At 40.9% G+C, this 15,167-nt stretch overlaps 1 protein-coding gene and 1 long non-coding RNA gene across 3 annotated transcripts in view; both read right to left on the bottom strand.

Annotated features, from left to right (window-relative positions):
* Positions 1 to 11,276: 11,276 nt before the first annotated feature.
* IPO11-LRRC70 (IPO11-LRRC70 readthrough) overlaps positions 11,277 to 15,167 on the bottom strand; it is a 49,855-nt gene continuing 45,964 nt past the window's right edge. The window contains exon 4 of the long non-coding RNA NR_073584.1: positions 11,277 to 12,712. This is a non-coding gene — a long non-coding RNA (IPO11-LRRC70 readthrough). The remainder of the gene's footprint in view (positions 12,713 to 15,167) is intronic.
* The window catches only part of IPO11 (importin 11), a 215,820-nt gene continuing 211,936 nt past the window's right edge, over positions 11,284 to 15,167 (bottom strand). For both annotated transcript variants that reach the window (NM_016338.5, NM_001134779.2), the window contains exon 30: positions 11,284 to 12,712. In NM_016338.5, coding sequence (NP_057422.3) covers positions 12,548 to 12,712 — 165 coding nt within the window. In that variant the 3' untranslated portion in view covers positions 11,284 to 12,547. The remainder of the gene's footprint in view (positions 12,713 to 15,167) is intronic.

The raw sequence follows: 15,167 nt of genomic DNA, 5'->3' as shown, positions 1-15,167 counted from the left end.
AGTCCTTCCAGGCTGCTTAGCTACCACTCCTACCACCAATGTTCTAACCTCATTAGGACGTTTGAACCCTCTATTCTCCCCAGTGTTGCTTTCCCCAACCTGTACTTCCTTTGTATCCAGCTTAGAATCCATTGTCTATTATTGTGCCCCATCATGTCTTCTGACTTTTGGTAGCATTATCTGCCAAACATAACCTCTGTGGCTGTGCTAAGCCATGATGCTGCCGGGCAAGGCCACAAACCAGAAATTTGTCTCACTAACTTCATGAATTCCTACTGAGATTACTTATTAAATTCATTTATTTCCATTCTGACCATTACCACCTGGATTTATAATAGCTTCTAAACTGACCAGCCTGTGGTCGTTCCCCACCTCCTCCCACCCCACCATCCCCACCTGTTGCAGTCAAGATTCTGGCTTTAAATTGCAAATCTGTTTTTATTGCCTTTCCATACTTCCTCTTCTTCCTGTGGTTCTTAGAGTCCTTTCTGCATGTTGTTCCCTCTGACTAGAAGACTCAGTGTCTTAGCCCAATATCCAGTCACCTCCTCATCCTTCACACCTCCCCACCCCATCATCACCTCCACAGACCTGCCTACCCTTCTCTAACTCCCTGAGGTCAGACCTGCCTTGCAGGTGCTCTTAGTGCTCCAGGTCACCATTCCACTTTTACACTTACTTGCAGGCTTATTTGATGGATGTCTCCTCTGGTGGACAGAAAGCTCAAAACAAAATAGTCTTCTCTGCTTTTGTTTATCATTGTATCCTCAGCACCCAGCATAGTGCCTGTTATATGTAGGCACTCAATAACATTTATTCAATGAAAGTTGAATGAATGACTTAATTTTCACAACTACCTCTGGAAAGAAAGCTATTATCCTCATTTTACAAATGAGAAGATTGAAGCAACTCAAGAAAATTAAGTTACTTAAGTTGTAGATACTTAAAGACTCACCCCAGTATCTTAGTCTTTTCAGGCTACTATATAAGAAAATACCATAGACTGGATGACTTTTATAAAAAAAAACAACAGAAATTTATGTCTCACAGTTCTGGAGGCTGGGAAGTCCAAGGTCAAGGCACTTACAGGTTCAGTGTCTGGTGAGGGCTCACATCCTCACACATGGCGCTTTCTTGTTCTGTTCTCACATGGTGGGAGGGGTGGGGGGGGTTTCCCTAAGGCCTCTTTTAGAATGACACTGATCCCATTCATGAGGGCTCCACCCCAATGACCTAATCACCTCCCACCCTCATCACCTTGGAAGTAAGGATTTCAACATATGAGTTTTCAGGGGGATACAAACATTCTGACCACAGCACCCAGGTTGCTGATTATAAAGCTCGCATTCTTTCCTCTGTACTATTTCTCATAATATGATACAAATGTCACAAAATATGCTGTGCTCAACAAAAGGTGTGGTCAGAGGAAGCATCCCACTGGTGTCAAATGCAGGTGAGAAGAATATGAGTCCTATGTGATGCTGGGCTCTTAAAACACCTCTTAGGAGGCCGTCCATGGTGGCTTGCGCCTGTAATCCCAGCACTTTGGGAGGCTGAGGTGGGCGGATCACCAGGTCAGGAGATTGAGACCATCCTGGCTAACACAGTGAAACCCTGTCTCTACTAAAAATACAAAAAAAAAAAAAAAAATTAGCCGGGCGTGGTGGCAGGCGCCTGTAGTCCCAGCTACTCAGGAGGCTGAGGCAGGAGAATGATGTGAACCCAGGAGGCGGAGCTTGTGGTGAGCCAAGATCGTGCCACTGCACTCCAGCCTGGGCTGACAGAGCGAGACTCTGTCTCAAACAAACAAACAAAAACCACACCTCTTAGGGCACCTCTCTCAAGAAGACCTTTACCACCCAAAACACAGTTGGCATATATCAAAAGCCTTAGAATATTAATATCGCCTTAATATTGATAACTCTTTACCTAGCAATTGTATCCAGTAGCTTTAAGAAAAATTTAAGAGCTGTACACAAGAATTTATGCACAAGGATGGTCATTGTGGTATTATTGTCAAACAGGTAACAGTTAAATAATGACACTCCCTTATAACACATTTTTATGCAGATGCTCCAAACATATTTCTAAAGAATATTTAACTGACATGGGAAAATGGTTAAATATTACAGTCAGGTAAGAAAAGGACAACAGGCTAATAAAAGAACACTAGTAATGATTCCAATTTTAAAGGTATGTGTTTCTAGCTATACACAGTCATGAAAAATAAAATACGGCAAAATGTTAACTGGTTATCTCTTAGTAAGATTGCAGGCAAATTACATTTCCTTCAATACACCTTATCGTATTTTCAACTGTTTACCATCAGCACGTGTTGCTTTTATAATGAGAAAAAAATGTTACTAAAAAGCAATTGACCATGTAATTTGCTCAGAAAGTTTTTCTTGCTATGTTTTTCAACTGCTCTTTCTAAATTATTTCAGAAACAAAAAGTCTTTGGAGGAATTTTCCCTCTGCCGATGCTCGGGTTAGGTTATTTATATAATGGAAGGCCACATGGAGACGTTGGACTTCCTGTATGAGTTTCATCATATAAAAAGCTTGGAAGTTGTCACTCTTTGCTTTTATAAGAAAAAGCTGGACAAACTGAAAACCAATGACTTGGACTCATTACAGGGCAAACTGTCTCCAGAGTTTGCAAACTGTCTCCAGCAAATCCAGAGACAAAGCTGAGATCAACTTACCTGGAGCAGAAGTGTTGGATCTCTAAACTGGTAGGCTCACTTCTGGGAACAGTCTTGGGGAAAGCCTCTTGGTTTTGTGAACATTACCTCTAGGAATCCCACCAGTTTCTCATTGTGAAGATCAGAGAAAGATGCCATCATAGTTCTTGCAGGAGGGGAAGAGTGATTCTTATGAAATACGTCCAGAGCTTTCTTCATAATAAAAATGATAAAAGAAAATAAACTCTTCGGGGGAAAGACTTAACCAGGCTTTAGGCTTGTTCTAGAGCCATGGGGAAAGGCACTCCTCTCGCTCCAGCCATTTCTCCTCTTCCTGTCTCACCTGAGGGGGATAGGAAAGCTTTCCAAAACGAAGCACAAGTGAAGGTCCCAGGCCAGAGACTCAAGCCCACTAAGAGACTTGAGATTTAATCGTTAAGATTGAGAACACTCCTCTCCCTTGTGCCTTACCACCACACCAACAGGGCTAAACAAAGCCCAGCTCCTAGACAAATGAACATAAATCCTCACACTAAATGCCTATTTATCTCAGTCCCTATTACCCAATACATGTCCAACTTTCAATAAAAATTACAAGGTATGCTAAAAAGCAAGTAAGAAGACAGATCAAGGGCTGGGCACGGTGGCTCGTGCCTGTAATCCCAGCACTTTGGGAGGCTGAGGTGGGAGGATCACGAGGTCAGGAGTTCGAGACCAGCCTGGCCAACATGGTGAAACCCCATCTCTATTAAAAATACAAAAATTAGCCAGGCGTGGTGGCAGGCGCCTGTAATCCCAGCTGCTGGGGAGGCTGAGGCAGGAGAATCTCTTGAACCCGGGAGACAGAGGTTTCAGTGAGCCGAGATCAGGCCACTGCACTCCAGCCTGGGCAACAGGGTGAGACTGCACTCCAGCCTGGGCAACAGGGTGAGACTCCGTCTCAAAAAAAAAAAAAAAAAAAACACAGATCAAGCAAGCATCAAAGCATCAAAACCAGACTCCAATATGATATGGCTGCTGGATTTACCAGACAGGGAATTCAAAAATCATTGTTAAGGGCTCAAATGGGAAAAGTAGGCAACATGCAAGAAACAGATGGATAATGTAAGCACAGAGATGGAAATTCTGGTAATCTAATGCTAGAAACCAAAAAACAGTGTAACAGAAACAAACTAAAACAAACAAACAAACAAACTACACCTAGGCATATCAGATTTACACTGTAGAACTGCAGTCCCCAACCTTTTTGGCATCAGGGACTGGTTTCGTGGAAGACAATATTTCCATGGTGGCGGGGAGATGGTTTTGGGATGAAACTGTTCCACCTCAGATAATCAGTTAGATTCGCATAAGGAGTATGCAACCTAGATCCCTTGCATGCACAGTTCACAATAGGGTTCAAGCTCCTGTGAAAATCTAATGCTGCTGCTGATCTGACAGGAGGCGGAACTCAGGCAGTAATGATCGCTGCTTACCTCCTGACATGTGGCCTGATTCCTAATGGGCCACTGACCAGTACAGGTCTGCAGCCTGGGCATTGGGGACCCCTGCTGTAGGAAACCAAAAATTAAGAGAGACAAAGAAGGCAGAGGCAGATTTTTAATTTTTGTTTAGCCTATAGAAGAACATGGATAAGAATTATAGTGGACTTCTCATCAGAAACCATGCAAGCAAGAAATGTGTGAAGTGAAAATAAAGGGCCGAAAGAAGAAAAATATGGAATCTTGTATCAGTAAAAATATCCTTCAAAAGTTAAGGAAAAAGACTTTCTCAGACACAGACAGGGAATTCGTTGCCATCAGGCCTGCCATGCAAGAAATAGTAGAAGGAAAATGATATACGTCAAACTTGGATCTCTATAAAGAAAGGACAACTGTCAGAGAAGAAATAAAGGCAAAACCAAATCTTTAATTTTTAAAATTCTTACTTGAACTGAAGGGTAACTGTTTAATAGCAGTAATAATGTATTAGATGATTATAACCCATGAATAAGTGAAATGAGAGACAGCAACTTCATAGGGGTTGGGAGAGAGGAATTGGGACTACCCTGTTATAAAGTATCTGCACTACACATGAAGTGTTATTTGAAGGTAGACGTAGATTAAAATGTATATTGTAAATTTAGGGAACCATTAACATTTTTTTAAAGGAAGTATAATTTAAAGTATATTGCCGGGTGCGGTGGCTCACGCCTGTAATCCCAGCACTTTGGGAGGCCGAGGTGGGCAGATCACGAGGTCAGGAGACCGAGACCATCCTGGCTAACACAGTGAAACCCTGTCTCTACTAAAAATACAAAAAATTAGCCGGGCACGGTGGTGGGCGCCCGTAGTCCCAGCTACTCGGGAGGCTGAGGCAGGAGAATGGCGTGAACCCAGGAGGCGGAGCTTGCAGTGAGCCGAGATTGTGCCACTGCACTCCAGCCTGGGTGACAGAGCGAGACTCCGTCTCAAAACTAAAAAAATAAAAATAAATAAAGTATATTGAAGTAGGCTGGGCGCGGTGGCTCATGCCTGAAATCCCAGCACTTTGAGAGGCCGAGGCGGGCAGAACTCCCAAACTAGCCAAATGAACTAGCCAGCCTGGTCAACATGGTGAAACCCCATCTCTACTAAAAATAAGAAAAATTAGCCAGACCTGGTGGTGCACATCTGTAGTCCCATCTACTCAGGAGGCTGAGGCAGGAGAATCCCTTGAACCTGGGTGGCAGAGGCTGCAGTGAGCTGAGATCACACCACTGAACTCCAGCCTGGGTGACAGAGTGAGACTTTGTCTCAGTAATAATAATAATATTAATAATAAATAAAGCGGCCAGGCACAGTGGCTCACACCTGTAATCCCAGCACTTTGGAAGGCTAAGGCTGGCAGATCACCCGAGGTCAGGAGTTCGAGACCAGCCTGGCCAACACAGCAAAACCCCATCTCTATTAAAAATACAAAATTAGCCAGGCTTGATGGCACATGCCTGTAATCCCAGCTACTTCGGGGCTGAGGCAGGAGAATCGCTTGAACCCGGGAGGCAGAGGTTGCAGTGAGCTGAGATTGCGCCATTGCACTCCAGCCTAGGGACAGAGCAAAACTCCATCTTGAAAATAAAATAAAATAAAATAAATAAAATAAAATAAAAAGTGTATTGAAGGAGGTACCAAGGACCCAGGGCTGTTGGCCTTATCTTTCTGGTCCATTTCCTCATCTGTGAAATGATTAGGTTAAGAATAGATCATCTCCTTGATTCCATTCCTGCTCTGCAATTTTATCACTAGAAAAAAAAAGGTTAATTAAAAGTCTAACTTGTTCCTTTAGTCCAAATAGTAACTATAACGAAGAACCTTTTGAAAGAAGAGCTTTCTAAAATAGCCAAGTCCCTAATTTATTATTTCAGTAAATTTAGGTTTCCATACTTCCAAATTGTGAGTGGCCTTTAGTAGGTTTATCTTGTACATATACTGAAACAATGAATTTCCTCACCTGGTTGAGCATTCCTCAATGCATTGTGCTTTAAGAACAGACAAGGCTGAAAGGAAAAGGCCATTTCATGGTATTGATTTCACTGCCAGAGACAGTCCAGGCCATATGCCTTTCAATTCAAAAAAGAAATAATCAAACTGCCTCCCTTGCCTAAATAGAGCTCTTCATTAACTTGTGATTACCTCCAGATCTGTCAATAGACTTTCCTCCCCTGGCTGTCAATACATTTCTGAGCTCAGTGAGCACTTTTCTGAGCTACAACTTTGCTGTCAATCAAAAAGTTTTGCTCTTCTAGACTCTTGCTCAAATTGCAGTGTTCATTACAAAAAGAAAAGAAAGTCACTTTGGAGTTGCCCTACAGAACACTGTGGAAATGACCTGCCTCTTTTGAAATGAGATGCTGATCTCACTTCAGGTTAAAGCAACTGAGAAAAACTGAAAGCTCACTTGCAGGTCTGCTCAGTCTCATCTCCAGACTTTTCTGCTCTAACCCTTACAATAAAAATCCCCAGGCCAGGCGTGGTGGCTCACACCTGTAATCCCAGCACTTTGGGAGGCCGAGGCAGGCAGATCACGAGGTCAGGAGATCGAGATCATCCTGGCTAACACAGCGAAACCCCGTCTCTACTAAAAAAAAATTTTAAAAAAAATTAGCCGGGTGTGGTGGTGGGTGCCTGTAGTCCTAGCTACTCGGGAGGCTGAGGCAGGAACATGGTGTGAACCTGGGAGGTGTAGCTTGCAGTGAGCCGAGATCACACCACTGCACTCCAGCCTGGGCGACAGAACAAGACTTCACCTCAAAAAAAACCAAAAAAACAAAAAACCCCAACAAGCAGATTTCTAGCCAAAAGACCTATTTCCCACTTTAAAGCCACCTGCTTAGTTGCAGACAGATAGAAATGCTTTAAGCCTCCCTGGACTCTTCCCTGTTCTAGCAGTTACTTGCATTCTATTTGTGACCTACTGGCACATTAAAGTGGCATGAAAATCAATGTTTTACATTGAAGGGAAAAGGGCTGGATCGCCAAATACCAATATATTCCTTCCTGGATTAGACAGTTCCTCAAAGCACACTTAACTAATACATTCCAACAGACAGGCCCAGATGAGTTAAATGCGAGCATTTGCTGGAACAAAGAACAAAACCGTCTTGCTTGTTAAAGATCGTTGGCCAATCAGGGACCTTCCACTTGATATGGTAAGAAAGAATTCAAGAGAAAATGTAGTCAACAACTCTCAGTTTTGAATTTTATCCCAGTGCTTCAGACCATAAGGAGTCCCTCAGGCTGGAGTCCAATTGCCCAGAAGTAAAAACAGACTCTCAGACCAACAGCTAGAACCCTTTCCAGGACATTGAGGTATTCACCCACAAGTGCTCTAAAGCTCGACTTCAAACAGCATGAAGCTGTGTAAAAACTTCCAGCTCTACAACCAGATGAATGGTTTTTACTACTTCATGGGACACCAAATTCCACATAATTAAGGTATGTTTGGGATAGAATGTAGTTTATTAGGTGGTAAAAAGGTGACTTTAAACTGCTTTTCCAGCAGATGTCACAGTCCTACCAAGATATCAAGATCAAAGCTTCACATTTAAGGAAATCATTATTTTTTTCTCCTCATTTTGCCAGCTGATAAGTACTGCTTCTTATCCTTAACCACACTCAAAGGTAATGCTCTCAAGTCTAGCATGTTTCTAAGCTCAGCCCAAATTTGAGTCTCACTAAAAAGATAAAGTATTGCTGCATATCTGCATCTTTGCCAAGTTTCCAAATCCAAAAAGGATATTTTGGTAATGGAAAAGGCAGTGTTTGCCTTCCATTTTAGTGGTGTGTGAGTTCAAGTTATATTGGAAGTCACAAAGAACTACATAACTTAAAAATGAGAGAGAGAAATAGAACTCTTGGAGAGATGACTTTTTTTTCTTTTTTGACATGGCATTTCACTCTCATCGCCTAGGCTGGAGTGCAATGGCGTGATCTTGGCTCACTGCAACCTCTGCCTCCCGGGTTCAAGCAATTCTCCCGCCTCAGCCTCCTGAGTAGCAGGGATTACAGGTGTGAGCCACCGCGTCCGGCCAAGATGACTCTTGACTAAAGGGTTTGCAGTAACATAAAGGAGTTTCGGAGACTTAAGACTGATGAAACTTGAACCAAGTTTAATATACTTCTTCCCCAGTTCAGCCATGCTACTTTTCTAGGTTAAAAGAAAGTTGCAGAACTTCTGTAAATTAACAGGCAAGCTGGTGGTGGTAAGAGCTCTGATTCAGGTTAAAACAAACAAACAATCAACAAAATAACCACTGGAAATTTCCAGAGCCATAAGAACTCTTTAAAAATTTATCCAGCCAGGTGCAGTGGCTCACGCCTGTAATCCCAGCACTTTAGGAGGCTGAGGAAGGTGGATCACGAGGTCAGGAGTTCAAGACCAGCCTGGCCAACATGGTGAAACCCATCTCTACTAAAAATGCAAAGAATTAGCTGGGCGTGGTGGCAGGCGCCTGTAGTACCAGCTACTTGGGAGGCTGAGGCAGGAGCATCACTTGAACCCGGGAGGTGGAGGCTGCAGTGAGCAGAGATTGCGCCATTGCACTCCAGCCTGGGTGACAGTGAGAGACTCCATCTCAAAAAAAAAAAAAAAATAGTAATAATAATAATAATCCTTATAATAGAGAGGCCTGGTGCTTAGTTTATGTGCCTCCTGATGTGATGTCACAGAAATTGTACATTACCAGATTAGTGTTGTTGCCAAAAATGCTTACCTGAATAAAATTATGAGGAAACAATTAGAAAATTCCACAATAAGGAATATTCTGCAGGGCAATTACCTTGGATTCTTCTAAAAAGCCAAAGACACTAAAAGAAGACAATTCTAGATTGAAAAATTAAGCAGCCAAATGCAATGTATAAATACTAAATGGAGCTGGGCATGGTGGCTGAGGCCTGTAATCCCAACACTTCGGGAGGCCAAGGTGGGCCACTTGAGCCCAGGAGTTTGAGACCAGCCTGGGCAATATGGTGAAACTCTGTCTCCACAAAAAAAATACAAAAATTAGCCACGCGTGGTGGCAAGTGCCTGTAGTCCCAGCTGCCTGGGAGACTGAGGTGGGAGGAACACCTGAGCCAGGGAGGTGGAGGCTGCAGTGAGCTGAGATCAAGCCACTGCATTCCAGCCTGGGTGACAGGGTGATACCCTGTCTAAAATAAATAAATAATATAGGATTCTGGATCAAAAACCAAATTTTTGTATGTCTTTATTATATGTCATACAAAGGACATCTGTGTGGCAGTAGGGAAAATTGGAATATGAACTGTTTATTAGATGTTATTGCATTATTGTGAATTTTCTTAGATGTATAATGGCATTAGTGGATATGTAGAGGAATGGCATCCTCAGATGTCTGCTAAAGTATTTGGAGATAAAGGGTTTATAATAATAAACTTTTGTAGTGTTTGTACTTTCAAATGGTTAGCGAAAGTACATGTGTGTATATGTTAAGTATATTTATATACAGATACACATATATAAAGAGAGTAAATATGGCAAAATGTCAACAGTTTGGTAAATCTAGATGATGGGTATATTGGGGTTCATTATACTATTTTTTTCATGCCTCTGCAGATTTTTTTCTTTTCTAAAGTTAGGAGAAGAAAGTATTTTGGTTTTCATGACATGCATCTTACCTTCACTAGCTCTTCAACTTTTAAATTTCTATACAATAGGCTTATGACTTGGAGAAGAAGAAAAGACAACAACCCTTAGTAGGTGAGCCTTATGTTTTAATTCATGGAATTAGAGATTAGTCGTGAGGCTACAAAGATCCAATATTTTCAAAACCTGATGATTTTTTATGTTAGAGTGACTCCAAATTGATGCGAGTCTGGAGTCAGGGAGTTACCCAGTTCCAGTATAGTGCCACTGACGCTTAAGTAGCCTCACCAAACCATGCCATTAGGGAGCAGTTTTTAAATAACTATCAAATTATACAGTGACAGCATCATTTTATTTCATACACAATCTCCTTCCCCTGCAGGCCAACTGCTTTAGAATGTGCACTTCCATTGGAACCCCTATTTTCTTACAGCATGTCGGCAAGTCTGTGTTCCTAATCAACTGTGAAATTTCATGAAGGTGGGTACTCTGTTCTAATCTCAGAATGTGGTACAGCATTATGGCATGAAACAGAACTCAATAAACACTAACTGAATAAAGAAATGGGTAAAATAAAGATTAAAGCGAGGATTTTTCAAGAAAAATTGTATCTTTTTAAAAATTGTATGCAATAATGTGGATTCTCTAAAATGACTAGTAGGAGAGAGAGGAGGGACCAACTTATAAGGAAGCTTTCAAATGTTATTGTTAGTCACATGGGCCTTTGTGAGAGGGTTGGGAGAAGTCTCTGGAATAGAAAATAAATAGAAAAGGAATATGTTTTTGGAGTATAAATGATCATTACCTTGTTTCAGGAGCCACAGTTCACCCAGAGGCCAGAGGCCTGGCTGAGTTGTTTGTCCTAAACTTAATATATTTGCTATATAGTTCTGTTAATGAATAGAATTCTGTAAACCAATAATTACACTTTATGTCTTAATTGAGCACTTAGAAATTCAAGATACATGAATTATTTTTCTGAGCTATTTACCAAGCCTATTTAAACTTGTGAGTTTTAAAAATGAAGCAAACTCTTTCCCTGAGATAAGCTTTTTACTTCTTTTGCAAGGTAGCTATTTCAGTAATATTTGGTATGGCACTATAATGAAATCTGTCAGGAATTAGAAGGATGAGTACTTTACTATAACTGAAAAATGAGCATGTTTGAGAATTTCTGATAACACTAATGAGTTAGTGTTTCAAATGAAAATAATTAAGTCAACAAAAAGAAATTCTTCTTGGATCAGTCTTCAGGACTGAGTAATACTGATAAAGAAATATCACTTGAAAGGAGCTTTTTGTCTTTAAATGAAGATAAATTAAAAGGGTAACTAGGATTTGCCACCTGCAATACTGATACCTACTAGCACAGAATCAAAGCTAGAGTATAAAAGAAAATTCTCTATAAGTCACTGGGCAATTTTTAAGAACTCATTTTTTGGGGGGAGCAAGAAAAGTAGTCAGACAAATCAGTCCAAGGTGAGGTATCTTTGGAAAATTTAATTTGGACCATATTTTCTTCCTCTTTCTGAAAACATCAAATATCCCCATACAGTTTGGGTTCCACAGCTTACAAAGGGGCAGTGGGTTTCCCGCAGTTACATACTGTACCCAACTTTCTATAGAAAGATAAAACATTTTCCAACCTTGCTTTTGAGTATTTCCTAAAAAATGCTTTAAAGTTTCCTTACAATAAATGGCAAGTAAAACAAAGTAAGGCTTTTTTTTTCTCCTTTTCCCCTTTTTATGTACTGCATGTTCGAGGAATAAGGAAGGAAGACTAGTTCCATCAGAGTACTAGTAATCCTAGTACCCTGGGGATTACTGCTGGATCCTCCCAGGTATACCCCTATTATTGAGGCCCTGATGCACCCCTGCACTGAGGAACCTGAGAAGGGTAAGTACTAAACAGTCTGTCATAGCCACGTGGGACTGTCACAGCACAGGTGGGACTGGGAGTCGCCCAGTTCTTCTCGGTGCTCACAGGAGTAACAAAGGAACTAGGACTAAACCATAACCAGAGGTCTCCCACGTGGTACTACAGTACCACACGTTCACTTTTGTGGCCCTTACAAATGCACATTTATAGACCCAATGTATTTACTGGAAAAAAAAAGAAAAAAATGCCTTTACTAATTTCTGTATCAAATTATTAGAATGAAAATAAAAGCATTTGTCTGATAAAACACACTTTCTATGTTAGATGAAAATAACTCCCTTGCAAGATAAGCTTGGTAATGTGTATTTGTCACTATTTATATATTTTTGCTTAGTACACACATTTCTTTAATAGCATCATCTGAACAGCTTTGTCATTTTTCAAACCTGTAGTTTCATTAGCTTAAAAAAAGGATAAGGCAGCCAAATTTAATGAATTTTGGTTGCAGAAAAACATCTCAGGTATTAACTCTCATCTTCAAATATTAAGAGCACATAATTAAAAGATAAAGTTTCTTCTCTTAACAGGAAACTAAGCAGCTATTGTCATCAAATGTACTTTTACATGTACTTTTTAGTGAAGGGCCCCCTCATAAATATAAAATTAAATTCTTTTGAGGAATAGGTTTGTGATTTTAGTTATGCAGGATTTACATTTATCCTTTACATTTTGTAGTAAAAAATGTGTGGTCTTTGCTTATTTTCATGAAGTGATTTCTTCATCTCAGCAGGCTCTCACATACAAACGGCAGGCTGGGTTACTCAGCTTGTTTCTGAAAGGGGAGGCAGCCACATGTCATGTGCTCTTAGAATCCTTGCAAAAACTCCTGTAGCTGGGTGACAATCTCCGTATCCACTGTTTCCATGAGGGACTGGAAACCTTGTTCTCCTAGCATCTCCTGCTGTGCCTTGAGCTTCTCGTAGATGAACTGCTGCAGTGACACTGTATGAACAGGGTCCTTCAGGGCCAGCTGTGGGATACAGAGAGGAGCAAGACTGTCAAAAAAGCAAAACAAGTCTCTCCTACCTGCAATTTACAAAAGTTCTTTGTAATCTCTTCTACAGTAACAAAATTGCTTCTGCCTCTCTTCTCACACAGATTCTGTACTAATCTCATGGTGGAAAAATCTGTCAAAGAAAATTTCATTCAATTAGTCTTAACTTCAGTTCCCTAGCGCCCCCTGAACATGTTTTCTGATCAGGCATTTCTCAAGAGCTGGGGGACTCATTCATTTAAAGCATCAAAGCCTAGTAGAAAGCATTCTAAAAGAAACAGAACATGCTGAAGAACATTTAAATACAATTGTCCAGCATTCTCCTTAGGAAGATAGGGTAGGGTAGGCCACTGTGGCAACCCAGTGATGCCCTCAGGATCGAGAAAGGAGACAGTGTTTGCCCTACCCTGGATTGCAATACTATTTAAATTCCTGTATATGCTTCTGGCTGAAAAAAAAAAAAAAGGGACTCCTCGTCTCCCACTGGGATATTTGGAAAACAAAAGGAGTGTAATTTCATGAAAAATAACCCAGAAGTCCACTCCTTAAAGATAACAATGACAAAAGAAAATATTTTGGCTTCTTCTATCCCTGTGGTATGCACATACATACATATACATAAAACACACCTGGACCCAGGCTAAGTGCAATGTGTGATATACCCGATTGAATCCTGCAACCAAGAGTGTTACCGGAAAAACTGGTAAAATCTAAATAAAAGTCTGGAGTTTACTTAATAATAATGCACCGATGTTGGTTTCTTAATTTTGATAAATGTACCATGTATATTTGGAAAATGTAGGGCCAGGCTCGGTGGCTCATGCCTGTAATCCCAGCACTTTAGGAGGCTGAGGCAGGCAGATCACAAGGTCAGGAGTTCGAGACCAGCCTGGCCAATATGGTGAAACCCCGTCTCTACTGAAAATACAAAAATTAGCCTGGCGTGGTGGTGCACGCCTGTAGTCCCAGCTACTTGGGAGGCTGAGGCAGGAGAATCGCCTGAATCTGGGATGCGGAGGTTGCAGTGAGCTGAGATCGTGCCATTGCACTCCAGCCTGGGTGACAGAGCGAGACTCCGTCTCGAAAAAAAAAAGAAAAAGAAGAGGAAAGAAAAATGTAACATACAATGTTAACATTAGGAAAAACTGGGTGAGGGGCACATGGGAACTCTTTGTACTATTTTTGTTACTTTCCTGTAAACCTAAAAGTATTCCAAATTAAGAAGATTACTCTAAAAAATGGACTCAGCAATTAGAAAAGTATACCCCTCTGTGGCCATTTGGTATAAGGACAAACCACTCTACAACTGACATCTCATCTTATGTATTAGCTTATATAAGTGTCTAATAATAGAATTTCTAAGCAGCTAGGCCTGTGTTCAATTTTGAGATAAAAGCTGATGTCTCCAAGCTCTGAATGACATTCAAGGTTAGTTTTTCTCAAGTTAATGACTTCATCACAACTAGAATATAGATCGGAAAAATTCCTGGTTTTGTTCTCTTTCCATTACTTCCATATGCTCTTGGCTTCTAAGAAAGTATGTGATCATTTAAGAAGTATTTCCATTGAAATAGTTAAGATAAAATTAGGAACCTTCAGAAGCTTCAGTCATTAGCAAGAGATAATTACCCAGAATTCCTGACTCTGGGGTAACACCAGATAAATGAAGTGTTAATAGCCAGATTCACTTCTAAAGTCTACACATCGGATTTTAATGAGCACGTGGCTCAGTATTGCTTAATTTTAAAATTATTACTCTAAGACAGAATGGTTCTAGTTGAAGTGTGTATCAGCAGTTCCCTCTGTTGGTAATGACAGCCTTTTGACATATGCTTCAACCTATGAAGTAGTCTTCTAAAGTGGTTCAAGATTTTAGTTTCTGTGGGGCTACTTACAAATTTCTTTTTGAGATTTCTATTCCTTGAAACAAAGTTTCCCATTATATTTCACTACATTAATAAGCAATTTCACCCAGCAAGAATTTAGTGAATCAAAATCTTTCATTTTCCTTGTTATGTGGCATATGTCATTATTCACTTTTTAAGCCTATATGCCCAATTATAATTTTTCAGAAACTACTTACTGTAAAGTTGTTTTGTCAGAGGCCTTTGAACCGGTGCAACTCCATCTTTTTTTTTTTTTTTTTTTTGAGTCTCTCGCTCTGTCGCTCAGGCTGGAGTGCACTGGCGCGATTTCGGCTCACTGCAAGCTCCGCCTCCTGGGTTCACGCCATTCTCCTGCCTCAGCCTCCCGAGTAGCTGGGACTACAGGTGCCTGCCACTATGCCCAGTTAAATTGTTTTTATTTTTAGTAGAGACGGGGTTTCACCCTGTTAGCCAGGATGATCTCGATCTCCTGACCTCATGATCCGCCCACCTCAGCCTCCCAAAGTGCTGGGATTACAGGCCTGAGCCACCGTGCCCGGCCTGCA

The sequence above is a fragment of the Homo sapiens genome, chromosome 5, assembly GCF_000001405.40.
Source record: "Homo sapiens chromosome 5, GRCh38.p14 Primary Assembly".
In the NCBI taxonomy this organism is placed as follows: Eukaryota; Metazoa; Chordata; class Mammalia; order Primates; family Hominidae; genus Homo; species Homo sapiens.
The sequence above is the reverse complement of the archived record's forward strand: the minus strand, read 5'-3'. Positions and strand labels throughout refer to the sequence as shown.